The sequence below is a fragment of the Homo sapiens genome, chromosome 18, assembly GCF_000001405.40.
Source record: "Homo sapiens chromosome 18, GRCh38.p14 Primary Assembly".
NCBI classification, from domain to species: Eukaryota; Metazoa; Chordata; class Mammalia; order Primates; family Hominidae; genus Homo; species Homo sapiens.
In genome coordinates, this window is record NC_000018.10 from 62,650,602 (window position 1) to 62,664,347 (window position 13,746).

Consider the following 13,746-nt stretch of genomic DNA (forward strand, 5'->3'; position numbering starts at 1 on the left):
CACTGAAGTGCTGTAATAAACATATGCCATCATATTATTTTCTCTCAAGACATAGTATTTCTAGTGACCTTTATGCTACCTTAGAGTTGAACATAGTACTATTGTACCTTTTTTTATTTGAGATGGAGTCTTGCTCTGTTGCCCAGGCTGGAGTACAATGGTGGGATCTTAGCTCACTGCAACCTCCACCTTCCAGGTTCAAGCAATTCTACTGCCTCAGCCTCCCGAGTAGCTGGGACTACAGGCATGCACCACCACTCCCGGCTTATTGTTTGTATTTTTAGTAGAGATGGTGTTTCACCATGTTGGCTAGGCTGGTCTCGAACTCCTGACCTCAGGTGATCCATCTGCCTCAGCCTCCCAAAGTGCTAGGATTACAGGAATGAGCCACCGCGCCCCGCCTATTGTACCTTTTAGAATCCTTTCACTACCAGCAAATTCTAGAAGTATGTCTGGAGGAACTACCACATGATAAATACCATGTCAAATCCAGGGCACACAATTTTGCCAAGAAGCAGACCCACTGTGTACCCCAGTAATGCAGAGGATGCACTACTATGATGCAATTTACATGAAAGGGGACCACCATGCCCAGTGGAGAACAGGGCAAGGCGAGAGTGTGAATGAGGGCATCTGGGGAACCGAAACCTTGAAGCTGGGACAGGACTTCAAGAAAGATGCAAGGAGTGTCCCAGAGAAAACGCAGGCAAGATCCAGGCTCTAGGGGGGAATTCAAGGCACATCCCAGCCGTGGCTGGTTCACAGGGAAGAGACACTCATCTCGCTGCTTTGTTTGACACACACAGTGAGTATTCAATAACTGATACCAAGTGAATGAATGAATGAATGAGGAAATGCACTCAGGATGACTGGCAAAGAGAGGAAACAGAGAATAGGGGGAGGAGTTGCAAGGACCTGAACCAGGGCAGTGGGAGTAGAAATAAAAGAGCAGAAAAGAGGGTCAAAATTGTGCAGTAGGAGAATCGACAGGAGCAGAGGGGTGTGAGGATGGTTTTAAGGTTGAAAACCTGGGAAACAGAAAATAGAATGGTGGCTAAAATTGTCTGAGAAGCAGCCGTTGGTGGTTATTTCATCACTGATGCATAGCTAACCTCTCGATTCAGTCTCTTAACTCATAAAATAAAGTGAAAGAAATGTAAACACACAAGAATTTATTACAAGATGCCAATTTGGCTTCATGGGACCAAGGGAAAATGAGAAGATAGAAATAAAATCTCTAAATGGCTAGAATTGCTCAGGAACAGGGGAGAGGAATTATATTCTAAGGAAATAAAGGGGTCCCAGGAGACCTTAAACATTCATAAATTGTATAGAAACACAACCATATTGCCACCTGGTAGAGCTGTTTCTTTGTCTTCTCTCTGTCTGTTGTCATGGGCTACCAATCCTGAAGGGAAAACTAGCTCCGAAACAACTGATTAAATAAATTTAATTAACTTGGAAAATATAAATGCAGCTTCGTGGGACTTCTTTCTGTTTCGGCCAGCTTTTAAGACACTATCACATGACTCTCGGCTTTCGGCCCTGACTGAGACACTGATTGTTGCATGAGTTTCCTTTAAACGTGTGTATGCGGTCCTAAAATACACATTGTTGTGTGTCTAGTGAGGTCTTACTCAGGCAAGGGGACGTTCTTTTTTTTTTAAGATGGTGTCTCACTCTGTCACCCAGGCAGGAGTGCAGTGGTGCAATCTCGGCTCAGTACAACCTCTGCCTCCCGGGTTCAAGCGATTCTCGTGCCTCAGCCTCCTGAGTAGCTGGGATTACAGGTGCCCGCCACCACGCCCAGCTAATTTTTGTATGTACATATGTATGTATGTTTGTATGTATGTATGTATGTATGTATGTATGTATGTATGTATGTATTTTTCCGAGACAGAGTCTTGCTCTGCCACCCAGGCTGGAGTGCAGTGGCGTGATCTCAGCTCACTGCAGCCTCCACCTCCTAGTATGGTATGAGGCCACCACTTCTCCTGTTGGCCTTCTCAGTTTCTCCCCAACCTCCCCTTTTCCCTAGTTTATAAGACAGGAGAAAAGGGAGAAAGCAAAAAAGTTGGAAAGAAACAGAAGTAAGATACATAGTTAGACGACCTTGGCACCACCACCTGGCCCTGGTGGCTAAAATAATAATAATATTATTAACCCCTGACCAAAACTACTGGTGTTATCTGTAAATTCTAGACATTGTATGAGAAAGCACTGTAAAACTTTTTGTTCTGTTAGCTGATGTATGTAGCCCCTAGTCACGTTTCTCACGCTTACTTGATCTACTATGACTTTTTCACGTAGACCCCTTAGAGTTGTAAGCCCTTAAAAGAGCTAGGAATTTCTTTTTCGGAGAGCTCGGCTCTTAAGACACGAGTCTGCCGACGCTCCCAGCAGAATAAAAAACCTCTTCCTTCTTTAATCTTGTGTCTGAGGAGTTTTGTCTGCGACTTGTCCTGCTACACTAGGTTCAAGTGACTCTCCTGCCTCAGCCTCCCAAGTAGCTGGGACTACAGGCATGTGCCACCACACCTGGCTAATTAACAAAAAAATGTGAGATTTGGCTGGGGATACAGATCCAAACCATGTCGATGGCCATCCTAATAGGCGTGAGGTGATATTTCATGGTTTTGATTTGTGTTTCCCTGACGATTAGTGATGTTGGGCATCTTTTTCTATAACTGTTGACTATTTGTATGTCTCCTTTGGAGAAGTATCTATTCAAGTCCTTTGCCTGTTTTTGAATTGGGTTATTTAATTTTTTGTTATTGAGTTGTAGGAGTTCCTTATATATTTTTGGATATTAACCCTTTTAGATATATGGTTTGCAAATATTTTCTCACATTCTGTAGGTTGCCTTTTCACTCTGTCAGTGGTTCTCTTTGCTGTGCAGAAGCTTTTTTGTTTGATGTAGTCCCACTTGTCTATTTTTACTTTTGTTTCCTGTGCTTTTGGTGTCACATCCAAGAAATCATTGCCAAGACCATTTGGTTTCTTAACAGTATTAAGAGCGCGTTATTTTTCCCGTAGTGCATTGCTCCTCCAAAAATCGTATTTCTATTATCCCTGCAAAAGAGAAATCCTTTTAATTTGGAATCAGTTTTTAATTTTAACCAGTTTTTAAAAGCCGAGTTTACAATAGAATTAGCAATGATGTCAGATATTTCACCTTTGGCAGAATGAACCTCCATATATTGATTCCAGGAATTAATTGTATGAAAAAAAAGGCCATTATTGGGCTAAACTGCTTTTCTTTTTGAAACATCTGATGACATTATCAAACTACTTTCATTAACCATTTGCTAAGTTCTACTGCTGCTAATGGAGCCAATACAAACAGCTATCAGCAGGCACAATGGCTCATGCCTGTAATCCCAGCAATTTGGGAGGCCTAAGTGGAAGGATCACTTGAAGCCAGGAATTTGAGACCAGCCTGGGCAACATAGCAAGACCCCCTCCCCGACCCCATTCCCTACAAACATTTTTTTTTTTAATTAGCCTGGCATGGTGGCCCATGCCTGTAGCCCTAGCTACTCGGGAGGCTGAGGTAGGAGAACTGCTTGAGCACAGGAGTTCAAGGTTACAATGAGCTATGATGTCACCACTGCACTCCAGCCTGGGCAACAGAGTGAGACCCTGTCTCTAAAAATAAAATAAAATACAAAACGACTATTGCTTGATTTTTTTGTATCTGTAAGAAAACTTGGAATAAAAAAGCAAAATTAACTTAGGCGAACAGTTATTTGATATAAACAAAAAGTCGGCCGGGCTTGGTGGTTCACACCTATAATCCCAACACTTTGGGAGGCTCAGGTGGGAGGATCGCTTGAGTTCAGGAGTTCGAGTCTGCAGCAAGCCATTTTCATGCCACTGCACTTCAGCCTGGGCAACACAGTGAGACCCTGTCTCCAAAAAAGGTCAAACTTCATGGAATGAAAAGTAAATGACAGTTGCAAAAGTCAAATTGTTGTCTTTGGGAATAACTACTTAAAATAACTTCCTAAAGTAAGTCCTAACTTCTGAAAGAGATGCTGATGTTTCGTCAGCAGGTCTGTGCCTTCTGGGTTTTGCATGGCTAGTGATAGGATGACAGCTCCCAGGGTGGATGGTAAATGTCAAGAAACATTTTGACAAAACTACACATTAATCAACAACTTTCATGATGTACACAAATTTACTACCTAATGGAGAATTCTAGGATGAAAATTTTCCTCAGGTTCTGAAGTTACAGCAGGTCCTCGAAGAACATGGTTTTGTTCAACGTCATCTCATTATAACATTTATTTATTTACTTTCTTTTTTTGAGATGGAGTCTCACTGTGTTGCCCAGGTTGGAGTGCAGTGGCACGATTTCGGCTCACTGCAACCTCCGCCTCCCGGCTTCAAGCAATTCTCCTGCCTCAGCCTCCCGAGTAGCTGGGATTACAGGCGCCCGCCACCACACCCAGCTAATTTTTGTATTTTTGGTAGAGACGGGGTTTCATCATGTTGGCCAGGCTGGTCTCAAACCCGTGACCTCAAGTGATCCACCTGCCTCGGCCTCCCAAAGTGCTGGGATTATAGGCATGAGCCACCATGCCCAGCCACATTATAACATTTATAAGGAAAAAAAATAGATTCCTGGTTGGGGCCACTGTCTGTGTGGAGTTTTGCATTCTCCCCATGTCTGTGTGGGTTTTCTCCAGATACTCCGATTTCCTCCCACATGGCAAGAATGTACCCATTAGATTAAGTGATGTGTCTAAATGGCCCCAGAATGAGTGAGTGAGTGTGTGTGTGTGTGTGTGTGTGTGTGTGACTCCAGAGTCTCACTCTGTCACCCAGGCTGGAGTGCAGTGGCGCAATCTCAGCTCACTACAACCTCCACCTCCCAGGTTCAAGCAATTCTTGTGCCTCAGCCTCCTGAGTAGCTGGTATTACAGGTGCCTGCCACCACGCCCAGCTAATTTTTGTATGTATGTATGTATTTATTTATTTTTCCGAGACAGAGTCTTGCTCTGTCACCCAGGCTGGAGTGCAGTGGCGTGATCTCAGCCGACTGCAGCCTCCGCCTCCTAGGTTCAAGTGACTCTCCTGCACACACACACACACACACACACACAGGAATGGGATGGCGTCCAGTCCAGAGCTGGTTCCTGCCTTGTGCCCTAAGCAGCCAGGAAAAGCTCCGGCCACCCTTGATCCTGAACTGGAGTCAGTGACTTAGATGATAAATAAATGAATGTGTCTGAGTCTACTTTGTGTTTTTATAAAGGAATCCCTGAGGCTGGGTAATTTTAGAGAAAAGAGGTTTGTTTAGCTCACAGTTCTGCGCGCTGCATAAGACTCATGGTGCTGGCCTCTGCGCGGCTTCTGGTGAGGGCTTCTGTGCTATGTCAAAACACGGCAGAGGGGGACAAAGGGGAAGCAGGCATACGTGAAGAGGGATTCATACCTGGGGGTGTGCTGACTTTATATCAACCCTCTCTCATTAGAACCAATCCATCCCGCTGAGAACCAATTCAGTCTCATGAGAGTGAGAACTCACTCACCACCCTGAGACCAGCCCACGCCATTCATGAGGGTTCCATCCCATGACCCACACACCTCCCCCCAGACCCCTCCTCCACCACCACCACCCTGGGGATCAAGTTTTAACATGAGATTTGGTGGGGACAAACAAATCATTTCCAAACCATAACAGGATGGATACAAATCATTGTCAAATAAAACTTGTAAAGTCTGTGATAATCATACAAATGCACAGCAATAAACAAATACACAGCCAGGTGTGGTGGCTCGCACCTGTAATCCCAGCACTTTGCGAGGCCAAGTTTAAGACCAGACTCGCCAACATGATGAAACCTCATCTGTACTAAAAATACAAAAAAATTAGCCGGGCATGGTGGCAGATGCTGGCAATCCCAGCTACTTGGGAGGCTGAGGCAGAAGAATCGCTTGAACTGGGGAGGCAGAGGTTGGGGTGAGCGGAGATTGCACCACGGCACTCCAGCCTGGGCGACAGAGTGAGACTCCATCTCAAAAAAATAAAAATAAAAATAAAAAAATTTGCTGGGCGTGGTGACGGGTGCCTGTAGTCCCAGTTACTTGGGAGGCTGAGGCAGGATAATTGCTTGAACCCAGGAGGTGGAGGTTGCAGTGAGCCGCTACTGTGCCACTGCACTCCAGCCTGGGCGACAAAGTGAGATTCTGTCTCCAAATAAACAAACAAACAAACAAATAAATGACGTGGTACAAAAGTGCTCAGAGAGCCCGTGGAATTTGTTCTTGTTTGTTTCTGAGCTACATGGTGGCAGGAGGTGCTCCTGACAATTTCCACTTTGCAAATAGTTATTCCCTGATTTAACCCACCACCACAACAACCATCGTCCCTCACTGATTCACCTGAAAGTGGGAAATAATTATCTTGCTTGTTTTTATTCATCCTTCTTAAATGTATATATAGATTATATTTATTTCAATGTTTAATATTAGAAGTGTTTGGGGTCTTTATTTAGAAGTCTGGTGAGGCCGGGCGCGGTGGCTCATGCCTGTAATCCCAGCACGTTGGGAGGCCGAGGCGGGTGGATCACGAGGTCAGGAGATCGAGACTGTCCTGGCTAACATGGTGAAACCCCGTTTCTACTAAAAATAAAAAAATTAGCCGGGCGTGGTGGCAGGCGCCTGTAGTCCTAGCTACTCGGGAGGCTGAGGCAGGAGAATGGCGTGAACCCGGGAGGCGGAGCTTGCAGTGAGCTGAGATTGAGCCACTGCACTCCAGCCTGAGCGACAGAGAGAGACTCCATCTCAAAAAAAAAAAAAAAAAAAAAAAGTCTGGTGATATCTGGGGGGCCAGAAATATGCCATAGGAACTTAATTCTTGTTTACATCAATTAGCTTATGGCAAAATTAGTTAGGTTATATGTTGTTCTGCTTAAAGTCGCAGTTTCAGAGAACCTATGGAAGACGTTAAGTGATTACTATACTGCTGAGATAGTGTCGGTGTTGCTATTGAAAGGAATGAGTACTGATTCTGGATCCTTGTATGTGGCCTGCTTGTTCTCTCTGAAAGCTTTTAGATTAAAAAAAAAAAACTATGTGTGTTTGTTTGTTTGTTTGGAGACAGTCACCCAGGTTTGGAGTGCAGTCGTGCAATCATGGCTCACTGCAGCTTTGACCTCCCAGGCTCAAGTGATCCTCCCACCTTAGCCTCCTGAGTAGCTGGGACTACAGGCATGCACCACCACACGCAGCTAATTGGGGTATTTTTTTTTGTAGGGACAGGGTGTCACTATGTTGTCCAGGTTAGTCTCTAACTCCTGGGCTCAAGCCATCCTCCTGCCTCAGCCTCCGAAAGTGCTAGTATTACAGAAGTGAGCTACTGCACTTGGCCTGGTGTTCTTAAATTTTACAGGGTTATGACTTATTGTGGATCTTTTTTCATTCTTCGTTCTAGGTGCTAATGGGCCCTTTAAATCTGGGGCCATCTTCTAGTTCTTGGGAAACTGTTTATTTCTGTAGTTGAGATCTCTAATTGTCTACTGAATACACCTTTCCTTCTTTCTTAGTAACAGCATATCTCTATGCAGGATGGCAATGTGCTTCACAGCCATCTTGTTGGTAGATGAAGTCATGTGACACAGTTCTGTCCAATGAGCTGTAAGTTGAAGTTACAGTTGACACAAATTTTCCCATCTTTTTCCTGCTTGAAACATACTTGCAATGCCTGAGATGGGAAGAGAATGGGCAGAAAACATTTTGTGTGAGGATGAGAGCAAAACTAATGATGTCTAAGCTCAAAGATAGAAATAATCTGGTTCTCTGGTAACAACATAGAGACCCTATATCTGCTAACCACCCATTATGTGATAAAAATAAAACCAATTATTTTTAGTAGAGACAGGGTTTCACCGTGTTAACCAGGATGGTCTCGATCTCCTGACCTTGTGATCCGCCTGCCTCGGCCTCCCAAAGTGCTGGGATTACAGGTGTGAGCCACCGCACCCGGCCAAATATAATTTACCTACCATACAATTCACCCATTTAAAGTATAAAAATTGGCCAGGCACAGTGGCTCACGCCTGTAATCCCAGCACGTTGGGAGGCTGAGGTGGGAGGGTCACTTGAGGCCAGGAGTTCAAGACCAGCCTGGCCAACATGGTGAAACCCCATCTTTACTAAAAATACCCTCAAAAAATTAGCTGGGTGTGGTGGTATGCGCCTGTAATCCCAGCTATTTGGGAGCTGAGGCACAAGAATCGCTTGAACCCAGGAGGCAGAGGTTGTAATGAGCTGAGATCGTGCCCCTGCACTCCAGCCTGGGTGGCAGCATGAGACTGTGAAAAAAAAAAAAAAGTATACAATTCAGTGGTCTGTAGTATACTCACAGAGTTGTACAACTGTTCCCACCCTCAGTTTTAGAACATTTTCATCACCCTAAAGAAAACCCATACCCTTTATTTATCACCCTCCAATCTCCCGATTTCCCCCAGCCCAAAACAACACTAATCTTTCCATCTCTACAGACTCGCCTTATTCTGAACATTTCATGTAAATGTAATTAAATTAGACAACATATGTTCCTTTGTGGCTGGCTTCTTTCATTGAGCACCATGTTTTCAAGGCTCATTTGTGTTTTAGCACAAATCAGTACTTCATTCTTTTTATACCTCAGTAATATTCCATTGTGTGGATAATAGTACATCTTATTCTTAATTTTTAAGAATTCTTTCATATGCTTTGAATTTTTTTCCTTTTCATAGAATGATGTAATTGTGCCATGGATACATTCTCTTCTCTTCTCTTTTGAAGATATTAATCATTGTTTTTCTGAAGTCATCTTCTTCCTGCACCATCTGTTTTTTCTGGGCTCTTTTTCTGCTTTTGTTTTGATCTCTGGCCTTCTTCATAGTAGAGGCCTTCCTCAAATTTCTGGTGATCCTTGGCCATTCACCAAATTACTTATCAGAATTTCAGTGTATGTGCACGAGGCTTGTCAACTGGTAGCCTCACTGTGAGATGACAGGCGGAGTACCTGCTTTTTCTCTTAAGCTAACCAGTTCCCCCAGGCGATACAGGGAGCACCCTTGACCTTGCAGTTTATGGAATGATAGTTCCCTAGAGTTCTGCAATGCTGTCACCCTGCACAGAAAAAGCAGTGAGCTAGTGTGGCATCTTGGGGGTGGAATGGGGACAATGGCCCGTCATATGTGACTTCTGAGAGCCTTACTCATTTCAGAAATGCCTTGTTTTCTTGCCCTCTGTGATGCCTCATGTCTCCTGGATCAGGACATCTCTGGTTTGCCCTCTTCAGAGAGCAAATCTTCTGTCACCTGCTGGGTGGTAGAGGAGTGACAGCCTCTGGCTGTGTGGAGTGAGGAGGAAGAGCTGAGGTCCAGCTCCTTCTTACACAGACATTGAATGAATTCTGTCATTTTCAGCGCCATCCTAATCCCCTGAATTCAGAGATGTCTAGTGCTTCCAGTTTCTGAGATTTTGGAGGATTCATAGTGGATTCAATTTATTTATTTATTTATTATTTGTATTTATTTATTATTTGTTGTTTTTTTTTTTGAGACGGAGTCTTGCTCTGTCGCCCAGGCTGGAGTGCTGTGTCACCGTCTCGGCTCATTGCAACCTCCAACTCCCGGGTTCAAGTGATTCTCCTGCCTCAGCCTCCCAAGTAGCTGGGATTACAGGTGCATGCCACCACACTAGGCTAATTTTTTTTGTATGTTTAGTAGAGATGAGATTTCACCATGTTGGCCAGGCTGGTTTCGAACTCCTGACCTCAAGTGATCCACCCGCCTCGGCCTCCCCAAGTGCTAGGATTACAGGCATGAGCCACCACCCCAGGCCGGATTCAATTTATCTTTTATTGGCTTCTTCAGGTATAGACACTCAGCAGAATGGAGAAAGCTGACGTTAAATTCGAAGTCTTTTGTCCAAACAACTTATGTCTTCCAAAATATTGTTGACACTTTTTGCATCTCCATTGCCATTCGCTTCTTCCTATTTTATTCCTTTATGGCTGAGTGGCTTTGAACAGGGAGTAGAGCAGATGGCATGTATTCAACCTACAGAGTTAACTGTGAGTCGACAGCTCCCAGGGAGAAGGCAAGCACAGGTGAGCCCTTAGTAGCATGTATCAGGAGAATCCTCAGGCTGGAGGCCACCGCGGCTGTGAACTTAAAAAAATAGATTAGCAAATTATGAAGAAAATCATTCATCTACTTCACAGTTGTATCTAGTGATGCCTCAGCCAAAAGAAACAAATATTTAAAATAATTACCAAGTTTCCTCTTGAGTCACCAATAAAGCAGCTGCATGTAATTACAACAATACAAGACATCCCCATCCACTTAGACCTGTCAGATTCCCAGGCTACTGTTTTTCCAGGCCACTGTCTTTCTGTTAGGCTATGCTGCTGCTGCTCATTGCCAACATTACATAGCGCTTCATATGTCCAAGCACTTTACATTTTTTAATACTTTAATCCTCACAACCATCGTTTTCTAGAGTTACTGTTATTACAGGAGGATAATATAGTTGGCCCTCTCTGTGGGTTCTGCATCTGTGGACTCAACCAACCTCAGATTGGAAATATTCAGGAAAAATCTGCATCTGTACTGAACATGTACAGATTTTATTCCTTGTCATTATTCCCTAAACAATACAGTATAGCAAATATTTACATAGTACATCCATTGTTTTAGGTATCATAAGTAATCTAGAGATGATTTAAAGTATAGGAGAAGATGTAAGTTATATGCAAATTCTACAGCGTTTTATCAGGAACTTGAACATCCATGGATTTTGGTATCTGCAGGGGGTTCTGGAAATAATCCCCCATGGATACTGAGGGGCAACTGTTGTATGGCACAAAGCACTTAGGTAACCTGCTCAAGTTCACACAGCTAGAATAGTTCAAATAGAATGAATGGTTAATAGTGTAAATAGAATAGAATGGTTCAAAGCCAGGATTTGAACCAAGGATGACCTTCTCTAGTCTTTGCTCTTATAAATGCACTATAGCACTTTGGGAGGCTGAAGTCGGCAGATCACCTGAGGTCAGGAGTTCAAGACCAGCCTGGACAACATGGTGAAACCCCGTCTACTCAAAATACAAAAATTAGCCAGGCCTGGTGGCGCGCACCTGTAATCCCAGCTACTCAAGAGGTTGAGGCAGGAGAATTGCTTAAGCTCAGGAGGCAGAGGTTGCAGTGAGCCAAGATTGTGCCACTGCACTTCAGCCTGGGCAAAAGAGCAAGACTTCGTCTCAAATAAATAAATAAAAAACAAATGCAATATAGATAATAATAATTGAATTTATTTATCACCCTACAATTTCAAGAGCATTTTCACCTGATCTCATTGATTTTACAGTCCCATTTTACAGTTGAGAACGCTGAAAGCCCATTTGACTTATCCGAGATCTGCAGTTTACCTTACTGTTTTACCTAGCGATAACACTGATGCGCTTTGTTTTTAAGGTTTATAGTACTTTGCAGCCCTAAGCTCAGCCCTTTCACTGGTTCATTTTGATGATTATGAAAATTCATTTCCATAGGATGCCAAGAAGAGGAGGCATTATAAAAGCAATAGACATATTCAAGAGCAGATTGTGAATTGTTGGTTAAAACTCAGAAGGTATTTTCCCATAAAAATAATGTGAGTCATGGTCAGTAGGTGTGTAGGCTAGCCCACAAATGCTAGGATGTTCCTTAGTGTTACCACAGTAACTGCAGCTCTCCAGGGCCTGGGGTGGAGAGGAATTTAGGTACAAGGGAGGACCCAGTGGTGGCGGCAGCCCCTCCCACTGGAGGGCGAAAGCCTGGAGGTGGAGGGAGCCTGGAAGGGGGCTGAGGAAAGGTCAAGGATCAGTTGAGTGTTTGTAAAGTGCGGACCTGCCTGGCATGGTTTTGTTTTCCTTTTTTTTTTTTTTTTTTTTTGAGATGGACTTTCACTCTGTCGCCCGGCTGGAGTGCAGTGGCACGATCTCGGCTCACTGCAACCTCTGCCTCCCAGGTTCAAGCAATTCTCCTGCCTCAGCCTCCCGAGTAGCTGGGACTACAGGCACACACCACCACGCCCAGCCAATTTTTGTATTTTTAGTAGAGGAGATGGGCTTTCACCATATTGTCCAGAATGATCTCGATCTCTTGACCTCATTATCTGCCTGCCTCAGCCTCCCAAAGTGCTGGGATTACAGGTGTGAGCCACCACTCCCAGCACATTTGCCATTTAATCAAAGAGATTTCCTGGAATAACAGACACTCTACATCTAAGGAACGTGATGGGAAACTTAGATTCTACACTTAACAACGTGGAGAGAGTTGAAGAGCAGGCCCAAGGCCAGCTGAGAGTCATTTACAGAGGGAACATCATGTCTAAATAAAGCCGATTTCCCCAAGGAATATGGAGACCTTTCCCTCCAATCATTAGGTCCCTAGCTTGACTGTTTTGTTTTTGTTTTGTTTGTTTGTTTTTAGAGAAGGAGTCTCACTCTGTGGCCCAGGCTGGAGTGCAGTAGTGTGATCTTAGCTCACTGCAACCTCCGCCTCCCAGGTTCAAGTGATTCTCCTGCCTTAGCCTCCAGAGTAGCTAGGATTACAGGCATGTGCCACCACACCCAGCTAATTTTTATTTTTTTGTATTTTTAGTAGAGATGGGGTTTCATCATGTTGGCCAGCCGGGTCTTAAACTCCTGACCTCAAGTGATCTGCCTGCCTCAGCCTCCCAACGTCCTGGGATTACAGGCATGAGCCACTGGGCCTGGTCCCCTGGCTTTACTGTTAACCTACAGACTTTGTGCAGTTAGAGGGTTTCTCTATCCCAGGGTGACATTAGAATCTCATATTTGGAGTAAATGGAATCAGTCATTTGTAATAAAGACTTCCGAGTTTTACCTGCTTCCAAAATTGGGATCTTGCCAGCTAGATCCAGGATGGAAGCTGGGTGTGATCATGTTTTCATTGATTAATTATAATAATTAATCCCATTTTAATCACTCATTTAATCATTCATCTATCTCCTCCAATCATTCTAAAAATTAGGAGGTGACTGGAAGTGTTTTTATTTGTTGGGTTTTTTATTTGGAGTCCATGATTTTCCTGAATGTTCTACAATTGTAAAAGAGTAAACATTTCTAGGCAGAAAGCTGGTTTTTCTTGTTGCCAGTACTCAGGATTTGTTTTGTTTACTGTTGTATTTTTTCCTGAGAGAAATTAAACAGGTCTTACAACCCAACCTGCCTTCTGGCCACAAAGCCTCCCTCCTGTATATTCGCAGAGCGGATCTGATAAGGGAACTGCCATCTTAAATTCTAGAAGCTTCTTGATGACTTGACCAGAAGCCAAGCCAGGGCCTGCAGTTAAGCACAGCCTTCAGGGCCTTGAAGCTGCCATGTGGGGAGACTGGAGTACCTTTTACAGTTTTCAAATAAGCAAAACCCACTCGAGAGATTTTTTTTATTTTGAGCTTAAAATAAACAGAAAAACAGTTGCAATTTGAATCATCAGCGCCTTGCTCAGCAGCCAGTTTAACTGAAGTCTCCATGGAGCTGCCCCAAGGGCAGAAGCCTCTCCCTTAAGATAACACTACTCGGTGATGAGTCATTTTGGGGTCCAGGACATTCATCAGTCCTTGAAATGACACCATAAGTAATAGCTGTATGGCTGCCCAGAGTGAGATAACTTCTTAGGACCAAATGCCTTGCTCAAGCATTTTGCAGAGACTGGGAGGTGGGATGCAGGGTGTTAT

The 13,746-nt window shown here is 43.9% G+C and overlaps 1 annotated feature.

The window, feature by feature from the left end:
- Nucleotides 13,356–13,515: an enhancer, noted in NCBI's record as "active region_13434". NCBI's record gives its function as "activates an Ori minimal core promoter by ATAC-STARR-seq in GM12878 lymphoblastoid cells {active_cell/tissue: GM12878}" and the evidence as "EXISTENCE:reporter gene assay evidence [ECO:0000049][PMID:35858748]".